Source organism: Homo sapiens, chromosome 11, assembly GCF_000001405.40.
Source record: "Homo sapiens chromosome 11, GRCh38.p14 Primary Assembly".
NCBI lineage: Eukaryota > Metazoa > Chordata > Mammalia > Primates > Hominidae > Homo > Homo sapiens.
The window spans coordinates 125,028,665-125,051,678 of NC_000011.10; the positions used below are offsets into that span (position 1 = coordinate 125,028,665).

Consider the following 23,014-nt stretch of genomic DNA (forward strand, 5'->3'; position numbering starts at 1 on the left):
AGTTCATTTATCAGTTCTAGGAGCTTTTTGGATGAGTCTTTAGGGTTTTCTAGGTATATGATCATATCATCAGCAAACAGTGACAGTTTGACTTCATCTTTTCAAGTTTAGATGTTATTTCTTTCTCTTGCCCGATCACTCTGGCTAGGACCCATTTCATTTTCTAATTCTATGAATTTGACTACTGTGTTAGTCAGGGTTCTCTAGAGGGACAGAACTAATGGAATAGATAAATATATATAAGGGGGAGTTTATTAACTATTCACTCACATGATCACAAGGTTCCACAATAGGCCATCTGCAGGCTGAGGAGCAAGGAGAACCACTCTGAGTCCCAAAACGAAAGAACCTGAAGTCTGATGTTTGAGGGCAGGAAGCATTCAGCACACGAGAAAGATATAGTCTGGGAGGCTAGGCCGGTCTTTCTTTTTACATTTTTCTGTCAGCTTATATTCTAGCCTTGCTGACAACTGATTAGATTGTGCCAACCCAGAGTAAGAGTGGGTCTGCCCTTCCCAACCCACTGACTCAAATGTTAATCTCCTTTGGCAACACCCTCACAGTTACACCCAGGATCAATACTTTGTATCTTCTATCCAATCAAGTTGACACTCCGTATTAACCATCACAAGTCTACCACTTGTCAACTTGAGCCCATACACATCTCCTGAGATCATACGTAATCTTCAAATAAAGACATAAATAAGGTCATAATTATGCCTAGCATAATACAACTATTCTTCATACAACCGGAAACGCACAAATCCCCAACCAAAATACTATTACTTAAAGTTAACAATACTTAAATGCTGATGTGAAGTCAATAAATCTTATGTTACATGATAAAGGAGAGAAGAAATAAAATGAAGATATTTTCTTAGTACAGGAGTATACATGCACAAACATGTTTTTAACAAAAGAAGGAGGAAATACTCATGACAGTTACAGTCCTTGTTTCTGCACTGGTCATGTGATTGTAGCTGGTATGATGACCACATTCTTCTACTACCCATTTTGTATTCTCTTTGCCTTCAGCAAGCACCTCGGAGAGTCTTGGTTTTTTTCCTGGTGGAGTGACCCAAACCTTCACTCCTGAAGGGGCTGGGTCATTTGTAGTCCTGCCTGGATTGGGCTGTTGTAGTTTCCCATTGACCTTAATCACAGGGCATGGTAATACTAAGAGATGCCGTAATGGACCTCCTGTGTTCCATGCATACTCCTCCTTACCTCTGTTGTGGAGTAGTAGACTGATTTCATGTTGAAAGTCTGGGTTGGTCATCCCAGCCAACACTGTATCTCCCTTTTTTAGCCTATTGACTTAAAGGTAGGAGGAGCCCAAATTGTCCAGGTAGCAATCTTAACTTCCAGTTTATTGTGCCTCCTGGTGGCAGCATTCCTCTGGAACTAAGACCTCTAGGCCAGCAGAATGTAATATCGTGGGAACAGGAAGCAAAGATTTTGCTAGTGGATCACTATGGGTGATGGTGAGTGGTGCTACTTCCACCCCTTGATTCCTGGACTTGTGAATCCTGGCTATGGGAGAAACAGTACCACATATTGGACGCTGATTCAGAGCGTACACAGCCTTCTGGAGAACTTTGCCCCAGCCCTGCAAAGTATTGTCACCTAATTGGCGTTGTAATTGTGACTTCAAAAGGATATTCCACCATTCTATCAATCCAGCTGCTTCAGGATGATGGGGGAACTGATAAAACCAGTGAGTTCCATGAGCAGGAGCCCACTGCTGCACTTCTTCAGCTGTAAAGTCAGAGGTAATGCTGTGTAGAATACCATGACGGTGGATAAGGCATTCTGTGAGTACAGAAGCATTGGCAGAAGCATTGTGTGCAGGATAGGCAAACCCATATCCAGAGTAAGTGTGTATTCCAGTGAGGACAAACCTCTGCCCTTTACATGATGGAAGAAGTCCAGTATAATCAGCCTGCCACCAGGTAGATAGCTGGCTGATCACCCTGAGGAATGGTGCCATATTGAGGGCTCAGTGCTTGTCTCTTCTGCTGGCAAATTGGGCACTCAGCAGTGGCTGTAGCCAGGTCAGCCTTGGTGAGTGGCAGTCCATGTTGCTGAGCCCATGCGTAACCTCCATCCCTGCCACCATGGCTACTTTGTTCATGGGCCCATTGGGTGATGATAGGTGGCTGGGGAAAGAGGGTGAGTGGTGTCCACAGAATGGGTCATCCTATCCACTTGATTATTAAAATCCTTCTCTGCTGAGTTCACCTGTTGGTGAGCACTCACATGGGATACAAATATCTTCACAGGTTTTTACCCCTCAGAGAGGTCCGTCCACATAACTCTTCCCCAGATTTCTTTGTCACCAGTTTTTCAATCATGCTTCTTTCAAGTCCCTGACCATCCAGTCAAACCATTGGCTACAGCCCACAAGTCAGTATATAATCGCTCATCTGGCCATTTCTCCTTCCATGCAAAGTGCACAACCAGGTGCATTGCTCGAAGTTCTGCCCACTGGGAAGATTTCCCTTCAGGTCTGTCCATCAGGGATGTCCTGGAAAGGGACTGAAATGCTGCAGCTGTCCACTTTCGGGTGATGCCTGCATATCGTGCAGAACCATCTGTGAACCAGGCCGTAGTCTTCTCTTCCTCTGCCAGTTGATCACAGGGAACTCCCCATGAGGCCATTGGTGCAGGCTGGGGGAGAGAAGGCAGGGTAGCAGGAGTGGAGACCATGGGCATTTGAGCCACTTCCTCACATAACTTACTTGTGCCTTCAGGACCTGCCCAAGCCTGATCACATATATACCCTTCCATTTGATGATGGAATGCTGCTGTGTACCCACTTTATGGCTAGATGGGTCAGAAAGCACCCACTTCATGATAGGCAGTTCAGGTTGCATGATAACTTGATGACCCTTCAGTTTTCACCAAAGTCCAGTAACAGGCTAAGAGCTGTCTCTCAAAAGGAGAGTAGTTATCTGCAGAAGATGGCAGGGCCTTGCTCCAAAATCCTAGAGGCCTTTGTTGTGATTCACCTATGAGGGCCTGCCAAAGGCTCCAAACAGCATCCTTATCTGCCACTGACACCTCAAGCACTATTGGGTCTGCTGAGTCATATGACCCAAGTGGCAGAGCAGCTCGCACAGCAGCCTGGACCTGTTGTAGAGCCTTCTCCTGTTCTGGACCCCACTCAAAACTGGCAGCCTTTCAGGTCACTCGATAAATAGTCTGGGGTAACACACCTAAATGAGGAATGTGTCGACAACAAAATCCAAATAGGCCCACTAGGCATTGTGTCTCTTTCGTGGTTGTAGGAGAGGCCAAATCCTTTACCTTAGAAGGAATATCTCGACAGGTCCCACACCACTGGACCCCTAGACATTTTACTGAGGTAGAAGTTCCCTGAATTTTAGTCAGATTTTTTTTCCCATCCTCTGGCGTGCAAATGTCTCACCAATAAATTCAGTGTGTTTGCTACTTCTCGCTCACTGGATCTAATCAGCATAATGTCATCAATGTAGTGGACCAGTGTGATATCTTGCGGAAGTGGAAAGTGATCAAGGTCTCTCTGAATAAGATTATGACACAAAGCCGGAGAGTTGATATACCCCTGAGGTAGGACAGTAAAGGTATATTGCTGGCCTTGCCAGCTGAAGGCAAATTGATTCTGTTGGACCTTATGCACAGGAGTGGAGAAAAAGGCATTTGCCTAGTCAGTGGCCACATACCAGGTACCAGAAGATGTGTTAATTTGCTCAAGCAATGAAACCACACCTGGTACAGCAGCTGCAGTTGAAGTCACCACTTGGTTAAGCTTATGATAATCCACTGTCATTCTCTAAGATCCATCTGTCTTCTGCACAGGCCAAATGGGAGAGTTGAATGAGGATGTGGTGGGAATCACCAACCCTGCATCTTTCGAGTCCTTATGGTGGCACTAATTGCCGCAATTCCTCCAGGGATGCAATATTGTTTTTGATTTACTATTTTTCTAGGTAGAGGCAGCTCTAATGGCTTCTATTTGGCCTTTCCCACCGTAATAGCCCTCACCCTACCAATCAGCCAATGTGGGGGTTCTGCCTGCTGCTGAGTATGTCTATGCCAATTATGCATTCTGGCACTGGGGAAATGACCACAGGATGAGTCTGGGGACCCACTGGACCCACTGTAAGTCAGACCTGAGCTAAAACTCCATTAATTACCTCACCTTCATAAGCCCCTTCTTTAACTGGAGGACCACAATGATGTTTTGGGCCCCTGGATTCAGTGTCAGCTCAGAGTCAGTGTCCAGTAGTCCCCGAAACGTCTGATTGTTTCCCTTTTCCCAGTGCACAGTTACCCTGGTAAAGTCCGGAGGTCTCCTTGGGGAAGGATGGGAGAAAGATTTATAGCATAAATTGTTGGTAGTATAGTGGGGTCCTTCCTCAAGGGGAGCAGACTTCCCCTTCATTCAAGAGGTTCTGAGTCTATAAACTGGCTCCAGTCTGGATATTGATTGAGGGGCCATGATTCTCTGTTTTTATATTTAAAATTAGTCTTTTGTCCACTTGACCTGGAATTTTTCTGCTTATATAAATTAAGTAGGAATGCAGTAGGATTCCTATCAATTTCACTTCTAGAAACACCGTGATTAATTAGCCAGTGCCAGAGCTCTGCATAAGTCAAACGATTCTGATTGTTGCTTTGCCTCTGCTGTCCATTATGGTAGCCGTGCCCATCTTGCCTTTGATGGTTGAGTGCTGCCACTTGGCCCTGCCATCTCGGGATCCAATTATTTCCATTGCATTTAAATTTTGTGGTTGAGTGACTGGGGTTCCCATTGTTAGATCTGGCATACATCAAGATCTTGAAGAGCAATCCTTACAGAGCTCTTCAAAGATGTAGGTGTTGCCCTCACAAATCTATTTTGGAAAGCATTGGTTAAGGATATATCTTCTGGACCCTCCCAGCTGGAATGAGAAGGTCTAAAGTGACTAATCCACTCCACCATTCCAATCTCTCTATACCTTTGGATCCCGTTCTAAACCAAGGGAGGAAATCAGGCATTTCCAGCTCGCTCACAGTGGGCCATCTTTTAAAAAGCTATATTTTAGCTAACCAAGCAGACAAACTATTAGAATCTTTTTTAACTCCCTGAGCTACAACATTAAATGTAGAATCCCTATTTAGTAGGCCCAAATCGACAAATTCACCTGATCAAACTCTATGTTCCTTCTATCATCATCCCACACCTTAATATCCATTCCCATGACTCTTCTCAAGATTTCTGCTTATATAAATTAGAGAACTCAAGCAGTTCTTTTTGAGTGTAGCACATCTCCTCATGGCCACACTCTGAACCTCACTTCTAGGAGCCTGCTAGGACTTTAGTCTTGTTATAGGTCTAGAAGCAAACAGAGGTGTTGGGGATAGCTCCTGAGGAGAATCAACTTATGTTGCCTGGCAACTGCCTCAGGGGAGGCCATCACTGTTGCCTCAGGCAGCACAGGGTTTATCCCCTCAGACAAAGGTGGAAAGGTTGATAGGAATGTGGGTCGGGGAGGGGATGTTGCCACTACTGGGGATGAGAAAGCTGTTTCTTCCGGCAAAAAAAATTCATCAGAGTTTACAAGCTCAGTGTCCCCAGTGTCATCAGGGTCCTCCCACATATCCCCATTCCCAGTTGCAAGGTCCCATTCTTTTCCAATCAATGCCCTCATTTTAACAGTAGACACCTGGCAAGGCTGTGCATGCACCTTTCATTGCAGGCCAGCCACTCGCGTGATAAAAGCTTGTGTCTGGTTTTCCACAGCTTCATCTCTTTCTCTTCAGGAGATAAGACTCTTACTCAGGGCAATCTTAGAAGATTTGAGGCTCAGTGTCTGCTTCTGAAGCCAGGAGTTAGCATCCCTGAGTTCATCATTTTCTTTCATCACTTTGTCCAGTGAACTTAGGAGCAACCAACCAACTTCATTATGTTCCTTGGTTCTCCACATATGGTCAAAGTTATTATGTACAGGGTCACTAAACTCCTTGCCTTTCATGAGCAGTGAATCAGGAGTGTCAAATGCATTTATTTTGCATAACTCTCTAAACAGTTCGTGCCAGGGACCATAGTGTTCTCCATACTATTAGAAGTAGAGTCCTTAACATTTTGGAGTCTAATCATATTTAGCAGCCAACTCCAGAAACCCCAAAACCAACAAAAGAACTCCATCCTTAATATTTGTTGGTACCAAAATCTGTATTACTCAGGATTCTCTAGAAAGACAGAACTATATATATGCATAGTTATATATATATAAACTCTCATATATATATGGGAGTTTATTAAGGAGTATTAATTCACACAATCACAAGGTCCCAAAATAGGCCATTTGCAAGCTGAGGAGCAAGGAAGCCAGTCTGAGTCCCAAAGCTGAAGAACTTGGAGTCTGATGTTGGAGGGCAGGAAGCATCCAGCATGGGAGAAAGATGTAGGCTGGGAGGCTAAGCCAGTCTAGTCTATTCACGTTCTTCTGCCTGGTTTTTATTCTGGCCACGCTGGCAGTTGATAAGATTGTGCCCACTCAGATTAAGGGTGGGTCTGCCTTTTCCAGTCCACTGGCTCAAATGTTAATCTCTTTTGGCCACACCCTCACAGAAACAGTCAGGAATAATACTTTACATCCTTCAATTCAATCAAGTTGACAGTATTAACCATCACAATGACCTTCTTTGTCTTTTTTTATAGTTTTTGTCTTGAAATCTATTTTGTCTGATATTAGTATAGCTACTCCTGCTCTTTTTTGGTTTCTATTTGCATGGAATATTTTTTCCATCTCTTTATTTTCAGCCTATATGTGTCTTTGTAGATGAAGTATGTTTCTTGCAGGCAAGGAATTGTTGGATCTTATTTTGTAACCTATTCAGCCACTCAACATCTTTTGTTTGGAGAGTTTAGTTTATTTACATTCAATGTTATCATTGTTAAGTAAGGACTTACTTCTGCCATTTTGTTACTTTTTTTTCTGGTTGTTTCATGGTCTTCTTTCTTCTTCTTTCCTGTCTTTTAGTGAAGGTGATTTTCTCTGATGACATGTTTTAATTTATTGCTTTTTATATTTTGTGTTATCTGTTGTATGTTTCCAAATATGAAGTTACGATGAGGCTTGCAAATAATATCTTATAACCTGTTGTTTTAAACTGATGACAACTTAACAGTGATTACATAAACAAACTAACAAGTAAAGAGAAAACTAATAAAAACTCTACACTTTAACATCATGCCCCTACTTTTAACTTTTTATTGTTTCTACTTATATTTTATTGTACTATGTCTTGAAAAGTTGTAATTATTATTTTTGATCAGTTCATCTTTTAGTCTTCCCACTCAAGATATGAGTAGCTTACACACCACAATTACAGTGTTTTGATATTCTGTCTTTTTGTGTACTTACTATTACTAGTGAGTTTTGTGCCTTCGGATAATTTCTTATTTTTTATTAAGGTGCTTTTCTTTCAGATTAAAGAACTCCCTTTAGCTTTCTCATAGGATAGGTCTGGTGTTGATGAAATCTCTCAGCTTTTGTTTGTCTGGGAAAGTCTTGAATTCTCCTTCATGTTTGAATAATATTTTCACCAGACATACTATTCTGCAATAAAAGTTCTTTTTCCTTTGGCACTTTCAATATATTATGTCACTCTTTCCTGGCCTGCAAGGCTTCCACTGAGAAGTCTGCTGCTAGGCATATTGAAGCTCCACTATATGTTATTTGTTTCTTTTCCTACTTTTAGAATCCTTTCTTTATTATTGACCTTTGGGAGTTTGATTATTGAATGTCTTGAGTTAATGTTATTTGGGTCAAATCTGCTCAGTAACCTTCTTGCACTTGAATATTGATATCTTTCTCTAGGTTTGGGAAGTTTTCTGTTATTATCCCTTTGAATAAACTTTCTACCCTCATCTTTCGATTTCCTCCTCAAGGCCCAAAACTCTTAGATTTGCCCTTTTGAAGTTACTTTCTAGGTATCATAGGCATACTTTCATTCTCTTCTATTCTTCTTCCTTTTGTCTCCTATAACTGTGTATTTTCAAATAGCCTGTCTTCAAGCTCACTAATTCTTTCTTCTGCTTGATTAATTCCACTATTAACAGACTGTGATGCATTCTTTAGTATTTCAGTTGCAGTTTTTAACTCCAGAATTTCTACTTGATTCTTTTAAATTATTTCAATCTCTTTATTAAATTTATCTGATAGGATTCTGAATTCCTCTCTGTGTTCTCTTGAATTTCTTTGAGTTTCCTCAAAACAGCCATTTTGAATTATCTGTCTGAAAGGTCACACATCTGTGTCTCTCTGGGATTAGTCACTGGTGACTTATTTAGTTCTTTTGGTGAGGTCATATTTCCTGAGTAGTCTTGATGCTTGTGGATGTTCACTGGAGTCTGGGCTTTTTTTCTGCCTCTTTGTGTGCTTAGTAATCTTTGGTTAGATGCCCAACGTTATGAGTTTTACCATGTTAGTTGCTGGATGTCTTTACATTATTGAACCTGGTTTTGGTATACAGTCAAGTTCATTTGATGACTTGCTTTTATAACTTGTTAGGTGGGTCTGGTGCAGTACTCAGTCTGGGACTAGTGTTTATTCCCTACTGCTCAGATAAGATCATTCTGAATACTCTACCTAATGTTCTGTGAAATACAAGTTTTTCAAGTTTGATTGGTGGAAATAAGGACAAATTATTCCTGGAGCTAGGTGGACTCTAGTCACTGTTCTCTTTTATTTTGGATTGTTCTCTTCCTAGCCTCAGGTTATTTCATTGCATACATGCACCAATCAGTGCTCTGCTGTGTACCAGGAGACTCTCTGTTCATTTCTGGGGTGCTGTCTCTGGGCAGCTTTCTTCTCTCTGGTACTTTGTCCTGTGAACTCTAACTGCCTTTGTCTCTCTGCACTCTTAACTCCATCTCTTCAATTCTTAGAGCCCATCAGGCTTCACTTCAATTTCCCTGCCCTGTGCCACTGCCTGGAACCTTCCAAGGCAGTAATCTCTAGCAGTTATAGGGTTTACTTCACTTGTTTCCCATCTGTCAAGGAGCAGTGTTGTTTGTTACCTGGTGTCCAATGTCTTGAAAACCATCATTTCTTGTATTTGTTTGATTTGTGTACTTTTTAAAACTTTTTAAATTTTTTTGGTGGTTTAAGGTTGGAGGGCAAATGCGGTCCCTGTTACTCTGTTTTGGTCAGAAGCAGAATCCCTGTTTACTTGTAGTTTCAATCTGAAAAGACTGTTTTGCTACATTCTTACAGAAAAACTGTTTTTTTTTTTTTTGAGATATGGGGTCTGGCTCTGTTGCCCAGGCTGGAGTGCAGTGGTGCAATTTCAGCTCACTGCAACCTCTGCCTCCTGAGTTCAAGTGATCCTCTGGCCTCAGCCTCCTGAGTAGCTGGGATTACAGGCCCGTGCCACCACTGCCTGGCTAATTTTTGTATTTTTAGTAGAGATGGGTTTTCACCATGTTGGCCAGGCTGATCTGAAACTCCTGGCCTCATATGATCCATCTGCTTCGGCCTCTCAGAGTGCTGGGATTACAGGCATGAGCCACCGCACCTAGCCAGGAAGAACTCTTTTAATAGTAGCCATTGCTCATTTCTCTTTGGGAGGAGATAAAGCAGCCAGCAGAAATTTTTGAGGATATTCTTGGGATATTAAACTGATTTCCTGACTCCTTAGTTTCTGGGAATTTCTGGGAGTTATTTGGATAAAGAAGCTAATTTTAAATAATAATTTTATGAAATTCCTAACCATGTTATGATTTTATTTTCAGAATTAAGAAAAAGAGAGAGCAAGAATGTTATGCTGCAGAGCAGAGGATCCTAAGAATGAACTTTCATGAAGATCCATATTCAGGAGAGAAGTTGAGTGAGATATTAGCCCAGTTACAACTTCAAGAAATAAAAGGAACCAGAGAAAAACAACAGAGAGAAAAAGAATACCTGAGGTAATTTGAAAAGGTCTTCATGATATTTTGGCTCTAGAAGAGACTTGGTAGAACTCATTGTTCTCATTTTCCTTAGAAGAGAATTGACTGTGTCTTTTCATACTTTTCCTCATTTAGGAGTTCATAACTTCACCAAATTTTTTGATTGCCTAATACTTCTTGGGTGTAGCCCTGCGTTTTTCCCAGTACAAAGAGGAAATGTCAAGGCCCAGAGATACGGAATAGATTTAACAGTTAAATCTGGCTGTAAAATCAGGATTCATACTCACTTTCTTTTTAATAGTTCACTTTGCCTGATTATACTTTATTTGTACAGATATGTAGAAGCTTTACGAGCCCAAATCCAGGAGAAAATGCAGCTGTATAATATTACTTTACCTCCACTATGCTGTTGTGGTCCTGATTTTTGGGATGCTCATCCTGATACCTGTGCCAACAACTGTATTTTCTATAAAAACCACAGAGGTAAGTTTCTTGAAGGAATAGTCAGGGCCTAATGGCAACAAGAAAAATAAATAAGAGTAGTGGTAATAGTAATTTACCATTTATTGAGTGCTTACTATGTATCAGAGACTGTTATAAACCCTTTACAAAATAACTATATGAGGCAGTGAAAAAATTATAATGAGTTATATTTCTCTTTGAGATCTGTTATCTTCTTGTCTCCATTTATGCTGGGGAAATATTTTCAGCTCATTCTACTGTAGGAGGTCTTGAGTTTCAGGTCCTTTAACTGAAGACTATTAGAATTTGCCTTTTATGTAAGTTAGGACTCTATCCAGTTGAATTCCCTATTACTCAAATACTTTAATGGTATGTAACATGGACGTATTACCATATATATCCACATTAGATTGCTAGTTCTGCCAGGAGGCACTGAGAAAAATAAGAAACAGTATAAACTCTATCAGGAGTCCCAGCTAGAGAAAACTTAGTCCTTCATATTGTCATTAATATTTCTGTTTCCTATCCATCCTTAAATATATTGATTTATATAGTATAAAGATTATGTAGCCCTCATGTATACACTAGGAATACTGCCAGTATATATATTCCTAGTGCTTCATCTGTATAATACAAGTTTCTTATCAGCTTTATTTTAAAAAACACAAATCTAATTATGCCATTTCCCTATTCTAAAACCTCTAGGGCTACCCACTGCAGTATAAGATGCATGGCATGTTTGGTATATTTTCTCTCTGGCTCTGGGCCCTACTCTAGCCTTATCAAAGTTGCTATTCCCAGTATGTGCCATATTGTTTACTCCTTTTGCACCTCACACTCAGTTCTCTGTGTTCTTTCCTTTACTCTTGTTATTTCTTCATAACTCGTCTTAAGTGTTAACCACTTCTGGGAATCTTTGCCATCCTGTCCTAGGTAGTTGTGCATTCATTCCCAACTTCATTCTATGATGACATTTGTTGTTGTTGTTTGTTTTTTTGTTTTTGTTTTTTTTTTTCCGAGACAGCCTCACTCTGTCGCCCAGGCCAGAGTGCAGTGGCACGATCTCGGCTCACTGCAACCTCTGCCTCCTGGGTTCAAGCGCCTCAGCCTACCGAATATCTGGGATTACAGGTTTGTGCCACCACATCCAGCTAATTTTTGTATTTTTAGTAGATACGGGGGTTTGCCATGTTGGCCAGGCTGATCTCGAACTCCTGACCTCAAGTGATCCGCCTGCCTCAGCCTCCCAAAGTGCTGGAATTACAGGTGTGAGCCACTGTGCCTGGCCTATGATGACATTTTGTATATACCTTTGGTTTGGAAGTATTACATGGCAACTTAATTATTTTTGTGTCCATACTCTTTATTATTTTTTCTGTCCTCACAGAGTGCTTGTCATATAGTAAGTACTGAATAAATATTTATTCAATAGATAGTTACTTGTAAGACTCTTGGTAGAGAAGCAGTACTAATAAGATAGAGGCTGGTAGAGTTGTTTAGAATTTGACTTTATTCATTGCTGTGCAAACCTTTTTTTGCAGCATATACTCGGGCACTACATTCATTCATCAATTCCTGTGATGTCCCTGGGGGTAATTCAACTCTTCGAGTCGCAATTCATAATTTTGCTTCTGCACACAGGCGGACTTTGAAAAATCTATAATAAGAATCTGAAATTAACTGGTAGTATTTTGGCTTTTACTTAAAATCATCCCTGAGAGAGTATTTAAGAAAAGCTGTTCAAGTTATAAAATATATAATCTGGGAAGAAATACTGTCTCATATAATAATTAGATTGTAATCATTGTTTTAATCTCTGTCTGGGAACCAAGATTGAAAGCTGACTTACTTCTCTCTTCTGTCTTGTGAACCATACGGAGCCTATTATTTTAAAATATGATCAGACAAGTAAGGCTTCTCTTACTTTGCTCTGCTCTGATCAGAAGAGCTCATGTGAAGTCTTTGAGATTCTCTTATTTATCATCTTTCTAAAACTGTGTTTTTGAGCTTGACAGTACTGAAAATGTCTGGATGAAGCAGAAAAGAAAGTGATGAAATGTGTTTCTGAGCATCAGAGACCATCTATATTGCCATTACCTTTTCTAGTTGTATATAAGAATTCAAGATTAGAAGAATTTAGATTTGTTGCACATTTTTTTCCTCAGCATTTTTTCCTCTTGTTTTTTAAAATGTATTGCCTCTTTCCCCATTCAGTGACACTGGACATAGGAATTTTTAATTGTGTAATTTTCTGTTGCAAAAAGGGTAAATAAATCCTTTGTCTTTTGAATATCTTCTATGTGAAATAATTGTGAGTGACATTTGAAAAAGTGAATCTGAAGTCAAAGTGAGTAAATTCCTTATTTCCCTATTTTTTAAAAACCTGGTATATGACATGGCTACAGGGCAAATGAAATAAAAATTGCCATAGTTGGTATGAATTTGTTATTTCCTTGCAGTTTTTCCTGATACAAAATATGAAAAGGTTTAATATTATGAATTGGAGATACATACTAACAGTTTCTTTTTTCTACTTTCTCTAACGTACAGTGCTGAAGAAGCACTTAGGTTTGTGCTCAAAAAAAAAAAAAAAAAAAAAAAGCCTAAACATCTAGCCAAGGCTTTGAAAATAATTAGAATTACATGAACAAGATTGAATAGTTATGCAACCAGATTACCTAGTTCAGCCAAAATCCTTGAAGTAATTATAACTTGATTCAGCCTTTAAGTGTTGTATTTTTTAACAGCTCTATTGAGATATCATTCACATATTATATATAATTGACACATTTAAGGTGTATAATTCAGTGGTTTTTAGTATATTCACTGGTTGTGCAACCATCACCACTATAAAATGTTCACTCTAAAAAGAAGCCCCCATGATCCAGCAATCTCATTTCAAGGTATATCTCCAAAAGAATTGAAAGTAGGATCTCAAACAGATACTTGCACACCCATGTTTATAGTGGCATTATTAATAATAGCCAAGGTGGAAGCAACTCAAATGTTCATCAGTGGATAAATAGTAAATAATATGTGGTATATACAATAAAATATTCAGTCTTAAAAAGGAAGGAAATCCTGTCACACACTGCAACATTATGCTAAGTGAAAAAAGCAGTCACAAAAGGACAAATACTGTCATATGCAGTACTTTAGGTAGTCAAATTAATAGAGACAGAAAGTAAAATAGTGGTTGCTAGCAGCTGGAATTAGGAGGATGTGGAGAGCTTTGTTTAATGAGTATAGAGTTGCAGTTTTGCAGGATGAAATGGCTCTGGAGATCTGTTTCACAACAATGTAAGTATACTTAACACTACTGAACTGCACACTTAAAAATGGTTACAATGGTACATTTTAGGTTATGTGTTTTTACCACAATTAAAAATTTTAAAAATAGAAAATAAAGGAATCCCCCATACCCATTAGTAGCCACTCCCCATTTTCTCTCCCAAAATGCACCTCCAACCATAGGCAATCACTAATTACTTTCTGTCCTATAGATTGGCCTGTTGTGGACTTTTCATGTAAATGGAATATATCATATGTGATTAGATTTTTTCATTTAACATGTTTTCAAACATCTATCTTGTAGCATGTATCAGTACTTCATTGCTTTTTATTGCTGAATAGTACTTTATTCTATGGATATACCACATTTTATTTATCCATATATCAGTTGACAGACATTTGAATTGTTTCTACCTCTTGGCTATTATGAACACTGCTATGACCATTTATTTGCAAGTTTTTCTGTAGACGTATGTTTTCATTTCTTTTGGATATATACCTGGGAGTGGAATTACTGGGTCTTCTGTCAGCTCTGTTTAACCTTTTGAGAAACTGCAAACTGTTTTCAAAAGTGGCTGCACCATTTTACATTTCCACCAACAGTGTATAAGGGTTCAAATTTCTTCACATGTTCGCCAACACTTGTCATTATCTGTGTCTTTGCTTATAGCCATCCCAGTGGGTGTGAAATGATATTTCATCGTATTTTTAATTTCCATTTCCTCATGGCTGTAATGTTGAGCATCTTTTCATATACTTTATCTCTTTCGGAGAACTGGCTTTTCAGATCCTTTGTTTACTTTGTAGTTGGGTTATTTGTCTTTTTATTATTGAGTTATAAGTGTTATCATTGTATTCTACGTATAGGTTTCTTTTTTTTTTTTTTTTTTTTTTTTGAGACGGAGTCTCGCTCTGTCGCCCAGGCTGGAGTGCAGTGGCGGGATCTCGGCTCACTGCAAGCTCCGCCTCCCGGGTTCACGCCATTCTCCTGCCTCAGCCTCCCAAGTAGCTGGGACTACAGGCGCCCGCCACTACGCCCGGCTAATTTTTTGTATTTTTAGTAGAGACGGGGTTTCACCATTTTAGCCGGGATGGTCTCGATCTCCTGACCTCGTGATCCGCCCGCCTCGGCCTCCCAAAGTGCTGGGATTACAGGCGTGAGCCACCGCGCCCGGCCAGGTTTCTTACCATATATATGATTTGCAAATATTTTGTGCCATTCTGGGGATTGTCTTTTTACTTTCTCTATGATTTTCTTTGCAGCACAAAAGTTTTAAATTTTGACAAAGTCCATTTTATTTACTTTTTCTTTTGTGGTTTGTGCTTCTGTTGTCTTGTCTAAGAAACCATTACCTAATTCAGGGCCACAAATATTTACTCCTAAGTGGTCCTCTAAAAGTCGTATAGTTTTAGCTCTTATATTTAGGTCTGTGATCCATTTTGAGTAAGTTTTTCATACGGTGTTAGGTAGTGTTCCAACGTCATTCTTTTGTATATGGATAACAAGGATCCCAACACTGTTTGTTGAAAAAGACTATTATTTGCCCCATAAGATTGACAATACACATGAACTTCTATTTCTGAACTCTCAATTGTGTTCCATTGATTTATATGTTTTACCTTATGCCAGTGCAATCTGTCTTGATTACTGTAGCTTTGTAGTAAATTTTGAAGTTTGGAAGTGTGAGGCTTCCAACTTTGTGCTTTTTCAAGATTGTTTTGCTCTTCTGAGTCGGTTGCATTTTTGTATGAATTTTAAGATCACCTTCCTGCAAAAAGCTGGCTGAGATTCTGATAAGGATTGCCTTCAATCTATTGATGAATTTGGGGACTATTGCCATCTAACTTATGAACATAGGATGTCTGCCCATTCATTTAGATTTTCTTTCATTTCCTTCAACAATGTTTTATAGTTTTCGAAGCATAACATTTGCATTTATTTTGTTAGGTTTATTTCTAAGTATTTTATTCTTTGATGCTCTTATAAATTGAATTGTTTTCTTGCAGATTGTTTATCACAGGTATAAAGAAATACAGTTGACTTTTTTGCATTTATTAATAGTTTTTTAGAGAAAACCTTAGGATTTTGTATATATAAGATCTTGTCATCTATAAATAGCCTTTTATTTCTTTTCCTTGCCTAATTGCCCTGGCTGGAATATCCAGTACAATGTTTCATAGAAATGGCAAAGTGGACATCCTTATCCTGTTTCTGATTTTAAGTGGGAAGCATTTAGTCCTTCACCACTATATAGGATGTTAACTGTGGGTGTCCTTTTTCAAGTTGAGGAAGTTTCTCTCTATTACTAGTTTGTTGAGTGTTTTTGTTATGGAAAGGTGTTGGATTTTGTCAAATGCTGTGTCTGCATTTATTATTATCATGTATTCTTTGTCCTTTTTTTCTGTTAATATGCTGTGTTACATTGTTTTCAGGTGTTAAATTACTTTGCATTACCAGGATAAGTTGTATTGGTTTTTATTTGTTTCTTTCTTTCTTTGGTCTTATAAAACAATTTTATTTTGCTCGTTTGATTCTACTATTTTTTTTTTGGTTTGGTAATCTGAAACAGGTGAATTGACTGTTTGACATCAAATTAGTAGTAGAATTATGATGGGATTAGATCTTGCATTGGATTAGGAGACTTTCAAGTCTTCTTTTAGCCTATGAATATAAATTTCATCTGAGAATGTGTGTGCTTTTACATTATAATTTGGTTATATGTAGACAATGTCTAATGATTTATGTTTGTGGAGTTAGAGAATGCTGAGTAGCAGCTACCAACGAGGAAGACTGAGTCTCATGACCCTTTGTGATAGTAGTATGGTGAATCCTGTTTGGATTGGATCAGTGTACTTTGGAAAAGAGCCTGGAATCTTAAGTGTTTTTTTTTGTTTGTTTGTTTGGTTTTTTAGTTTACAAGTTTGTGAAATCAGAGTTGTATAGACATATTCCACTGTTGCGGGAAGTCAGGGACCCCAAACGGAGGGACCGGCTGAAGCCATGGCAGAAGAACACGGATTGTGAAGATTTCATGGACATTTATTAGTTCCCCAAATTAATACTTTTATAATTTCTTATGCCTGTCTTTACTGCAATCTCTAAACATAAATTGTAAAGATTTCATGGACACTTATCACTTCCCCAGTCAATACCCTTGTGATTTCCTATGCCTGTGTTTACTTTAATCTCTTAATCCTATCAGCTGAGGAGGATGTTTGTCGCCTCAGGACCCTATAATAATTGCATTAACTGCACAAATTGTACAGCATGTGTGTTTGAGCAATATGAAATGTGGGCACCTTGAAAAAAGAACAGGATAACAGCAATTGTTCAGGGAATAAGAGAGATAACCTTAAACTCTGACCGCTGGTGAGCTGGGCGGAACAGAGCCATATTTCTCTTCTTTCAAAAGCAAATGGGAGAAATATTGCTGAATTCCTTTTCTCAGCAAGGAACATCCCTGAGAAAGAGAATGTGCACCTGGGGGTGGGTCTCTGAACTGGCCCCCCTGGGTGTGGCCATCTCTTATGGTCGAAACTGCAGGGGTGAAATAGACCCCAGTCTCCCATAGTGCTCCCAGGCTTATTAGGAAGAGGAAATTCCTGCCTAATAAATTTTGGTCAGACTGGTTGATCTCAAAACCCTGTCTCCTGATAAGATGTTATCAATGACAGTGGTGCCTGAAACTTCATTAGCAATTTTAATTTTGCCCCAGTCCTGTGGTCCTGTGATCTCCCCCTGCCTCCACTTGCCTTGTGATATTCTATTACCTTGTAAAGTACTTGATGTCTGTGACCCACACCTATTTGCACACTCCCTCCCCTTTTGAAAATCCCTAATAAAAACTTGCTGGTTTTTGTGGCTTATGGGGCATCACGGAACCTACCAACATGTGATGTCTCCCCCAGATGCCCAGCTTTAAAATTTCTGTCTTTTGTACTCTGTCCCTTTATTTCTCAAGCTGGCCGATGCTTAAGGAAAATAGAAAAGAACCTACGTGAATATTGGGGCAGGTTCCCCGATATTCTACCGATTTTCTAGATTAGTAGGGGCCTGTAAGAAAGAAGAGGTGAAGATAGGAACTGAGCCGAAATGAGTAGATTTTGATTTGGGTGGTAGGAGTGTGAGGGACAGGATTAAATTTGCATCCTCAATTTCAAACAGGGTAAATGGCAGGCATTTCAATTGAAAAATGATTAAGTAAGAATGAACATTTCCTCGATGACTGTTTACATCTTACTCAAACTTTCCTCAAACTTCCTATAGGTTTTTCCTTACTTTCACTACCAGTTGGTGGCAGTACTTCCTGTGCCACTGAAAAAATAAGCAATCAAAAGGAAACTTCACAAGTTTCCACCATCATACCTACCCATCTACTTGCATCTGTTAATTCCTGTTAATGTGGATGAACTGTTTGTTCTCCTATCTTAGGCCTACCCTGACATGTGGCTAGATCCAATTCCTTCCCACCTACTCAAGGACATTTCTTCAGCATTTCTTCCCCTTCTTTTCTGCATCATCAGTTTTTCTCCTGTATACAAGAGTATTGCTATCAGTTTATAAACATGTTGTAATTTTGCCCATCTTAAAAACCAACCAACTAGAAAAAAAAGAAGAGAGGAGGAAAAAAACACCTCTATCCCACATCTTCCTTCAGCTGCCACTGAACTTCTCTGCTTCCCTTTATAACAAAAATCCTTGAGTTGTACATATTTGCTGCTCCTATTCCTCTCCTCACATTCTCTCAGATGCATTTTAGTGAGACTGTTTGCCTTTACCTCTCTAATAAAAGTACTCTTATTAAAGTCACCCAAAACTTCCACATTGCTAAATCTAATGGTCATTCTCAGACTCCATCTTACTGTCTTACTTACTTGCTTACTGTCTTACCGACTTATCTGTCAACAGAATTAAACAATTGATCAATCTTTTTTTTTTTCTGAAGTACCTTATTACCTGGTTCCCCCAACACTAGAGCTTTTTATTTTTCTTCCAACTACAACTGGCTATTGCTTCTTAGGTTTTGTTATTGTTGTTGTTGTTGTTTTTTGCTGTTTCTCCCCCATCTTCAATCCCTTAATATTGGAGTATCCTGGGGCTCAGTCCTTGGACTTCTTTTCTGCCTTGCTTTTCGCTTGCTCTTTTGGTGATCTCTTCTTATCTCATGGTTTTAAATATCATCTAAATACTGATAGCTCTCAAATTTATATATCTGGTCCACAGCTGTCTCTAACCTTCAGACTCATCTAACCCTGACTGCCTACTTGACATTTAGTTTTTCACAGATTTGCTCCTCCCACAGTCTTCCTCATATCAGTTAATAGCAGTTGCATCTTTCTAGTTATTGAGGCCAAAAATCTCATGGAAATCATTGACTCCCACCTCCGCTGCTCATCTTTCATCACTCACTCCATCAGCAAATCATTTCAGTTCTACCTTCATAATAGATCTGCAGTTCTCATGACTCCCTTTGCCATATGCCTGACCCACCCACCGTTCTCTCTCTCATGGATTATTGTAAGAGTTTCGCAAGTAATCTTCCTGTTTGCACCTTATGTATTTTCTCAGTACAGCTACCATACTTAATATTAATGTATCCCAAAACCAACCTTCTGATCTCTATCATTGCACACTCACCAATAAAACTAACCAACACAAAAATGTTTTCCTTACTATAGTCTTCCCCTTCTCAGTAAACAACAACTCCATCCGCTGTTTCTTCTGTCCAAAAAAAAGTGTGAAGTCAACCTTCATTCTTTTCTTAAACAACCCATATTCAATCCTTATTGGATCCACCTTGAAAGTATACTCAAAACGCAATTATTTTTCAATGCCTTCCCCACTACAACCCTGGTCCAAGTCATCATATCTCATCTGAGTTCTTGCAATAGCTCCCAAGTTGGTTTTCTTGCTTCCATACTTCCTCCTATAAACTGCTCTTAGCACAGCAGCCAAAGCAGTGAAAATAATTAAGCTCATGCCACTTCTCTGTCGAAGCCTCCTTTGGCTATGCGTTTTGCTCAGGGAAAGCTGGATCCCTTACAATGTTGTACAGGCCCTACACAATCTGATCCCTGTTACTTCTGAGGCTTTATCTCCAAGTGCCCTTCTCCTCGCTCACTCTACTCAGCCACACTGACTTTATTCTTCCTTGAACATTCTAGGGACACTTTTACTTCAGGGCTTTTTCATTCGTTGTTTGCCTGGAGACACGTCTTCCTTAGAAAATGTTTGGCCACTTCCTTACCTCCTTCAAATCTTTGCTCAAATATGGCTTATCAGAGGGCCTTCCTTGACCATCCTATTTTTAAATGCAGTCTTCCCCCTGGCCCCCAAACACAGGTACTCTATATCCCCTTTCCTTTCTTTTTCCTCATGACACTTATAGCTGTATGACATACTATATATTTTGCTAATGTTTATTTTCCCTATGTCCCCACTAATTTGTATATTTTGTGAGGACAGAGATTCTTGTCTCTTTGTTTAATGCTGCAGCCTCAGTTCTTAAGGCTATGCCTGGTGTGTAATAGGCTCTCAATAAGTATTTGTTAAATGAGTCAATACATTTGTCTTTAAAACATTCCAAATATTTCTACATGATTAGTACTTTTACCTAATGTGCTATTTACTAAAAAGGTTATTAGGAATCATTTTCGTTTGTTTTCCAGGTTTTCATTGCCATTGTGATTTGGAACAAATAATTTGATTTCTCTGGGCAGCACTTTCCTCTTTTGTAAAATAAGAGGGTTATACTAAGTGGCCTCCATCTACCCTATAGTTCTAACATTCTAGGAATTTATTATTTGTTTTGTACTTTTGACCTCACTGTTTCTCATTTTTCAGTTCATTCGCTGTTCATGCCGAGGTGTGGAGTAATGGTAGGTTTTACTTGTGGACAGTGAGATAAGGGTGGAACAAGTTTATTCTCCTCTACTGTAACTCCAGGATTGATTGTGTTGTCTGAGTAGATGCAATTTCTATAGGTCAAAGTAGAATAGAAGGGCAGAACAGAGGGCTACAGGAGCATATGGACATGAGCCCAGCAAGAGAGGCACAACCCCATGAAAGCTTAGCTTTAGCTCTTACCTAGAAGGGAACTTTATTAATTTCCAGAACCCATGGCAAGAGGTGGAAATGTGTATGTGATAGAGGCAATTCAAGGATTATGGTAGTAGCAGGGGATATACATGCTGTACTTTTCCTATAATAACCATCAGAAAGCATGTATGACGTGTTTTCCTAGGCATGCAACGTGAAACAGCTTGCTCCAGTTGCTTTGACTTAGTAAACTTCTGTGTCCTCTCCCTTCCATTGTTCCTGGATATTACTTAATTGTCCAGGCCTCACCCTTACCTATTTAACACTTTTATGATGGGCAGTCAACAACTTTATTGATGACCTACTGGGTACAGAGGCTAGAAACTCTTGCTTTTATATCTTCTAGACATTTAAGATTTGATAAAGGAGGCAGCAGGTATTATTTTTCTGTGTTTATTTACTTAGATTCTGTTTTTAGAATTAAAATATGTCCTTCAGTTTCTCTCTGAGTGTGGTGAGCATAATTTACTTGTGCCCCATCTTAAACATTTTTTCATGCTTCTTAGAAAAAAAGTTTGGGAGATTGGAACTGTTATAGAGGAAGACAAAAGCAAATAGCCACCTGGCTTGCTGGACCCATTCTGTTGGGTGAAAGACTTTAAATATGTTGGTTCAGATTTTTATAGCTCTCTTAAGGTGGAAATGAAGGGTCCATCTCTGGTCTTGTTCTCTGTATCACTGACCACTATTTGAGGTGGGCTGTATGGAAGCTGTCTAACATAGGTCACATGCTGCCAAGGAGAAGCCAAAGTGATTCCTTTTGATTAAGACAACATGGTGTTGTACCACATGAGTTATCTTATGCAGGCTCCAAGATGAGCTTACTTCTTTTAGAAGTTACCACTCAATTCTTGTCATAGATTCTACCCATGCTCAGATGCCTACAGCAATAATTAATGGATGAACTTATTAAACATGGTCATCTGATGTAATGCAATATGAAGCATGCAGTGCCTTCTGTAAAGTATTTTTGCCAAATAAAAGGTCGAAACTAAATGTAATCAAACCTGTCAGTCTTTCTCACTTGGTTATTGGGAGAAAAGCCCTAATGTTCTAAGGAATTCATTGTATATAATAAATTAACTTCTCTCCTGTTGATCTAGAATGGTACTAGTTATTTATGAACCATCTTTGAGGGAATTAAGAACATAATCACTCAAACTAATTTCTGGTTTAGATGATGATAATATGTAAAGAGAAAAGCCGTGAGGATTCCACTTATAGGAAATACAAGGAAACAAGTTAGATTATGCCACGAAGAAGCAGAAATCCAGAATATGGGTCATTTTGTAGGAAAATTGAGCCAATTTCTTTAGCAAGTTAAGAGCTTGAATTTTAAAAATGAGGAGATGGCTCTAGACAAACTTATAGAGTTAGCAACCACTAAATATAATGTATGGACCTTGTTTGGATCCTGATGTGAAGAAACAGTCTGAAAAAATAACTTTGAAGCAATGAGAGGAATTTGAATAGAATCTAAGTGATTCATTTTGTTAGGTAAGTCGACAGCATTGTGGTTATATACAAGAAATATACAGAGATGGCTACTGAAGTATATAGGGATGAAATTATGTTTGAGATTTACTTTAAAATAATTCAGTATAGATGAAGTGAGTGTGGCCAAAGCTTGATAATAGTGAATCTAGGTGACAGGTTTGTGGAGTTTCATCATGCTATTCTCTATTTTTGTGTATGTTTGAATTTTTTTAAGTTATTTACTTCAAAAAACTTAAACCTGAAATAATTTTGTTGACAGTATAACTGTCTTCCTTTTCACTCTCCCAAATATTAGGAGATTTGGATGAGAAAGTAGTTCTGGGACTTCTGACATAGTTATTATTAGGTGGTGACTAGAACCTAGAGGCTGCAGTGTTTTGTGGCCTTTCTATAAGAAAGACTGATTAAATAGAATTTAGGTTTATTCCAGAGACCAGAAGCTCCCTAGCATAGCTCACACCCTAAGTAATTAGATAGGCACCTAGCTACCTGGTTTTATAAACTATAACTAGTGAATTCCCAGGCATATAAAAGTTGAGAAATCAGGGATGAAAGACCATGGAGAACATTAATGACAGAAAGAACGAAATGGTAATTTTGTAAATAAAAGCAGTTTTGAAACCTTAGGGTGAATTGGGGGTAAGAGAGAATATGTGGTTCAATTCAGAGATAGTAAAAGTCCTTTATATTTCTCTCTTCCCTCTGAACAGAGTCTGTAGAGATTGAAAAATTGCTCTTTGTTG

At 39.0% G+C, this 23,014-nt stretch overlaps 1 protein-coding gene across 1 annotated transcript in view; it reads left to right on the forward strand.

Moving 5' to 3' along the window:
• Positions 1 to 12,825, forward strand: part of CCDC15 (coiled-coil domain containing 15) — an 87,288-nt gene extending 74,463 nt beyond the window's left edge. Inside the window, exons 14-16 of the mRNA NM_025004.3 lie at positions 9,767 to 9,940; positions 10,257 to 10,405; positions 11,926 to 12,825. Coding sequence (NP_079280.2) covers positions 9,767 to 9,940; positions 10,257 to 10,405; positions 11,926 to 12,047 — 445 coding nt within the window. The 3' untranslated portion in view covers positions 12,048 to 12,825. The remainder of the gene's footprint in view (positions 1 to 9,766; positions 9,941 to 10,256; positions 10,406 to 11,925) is intronic.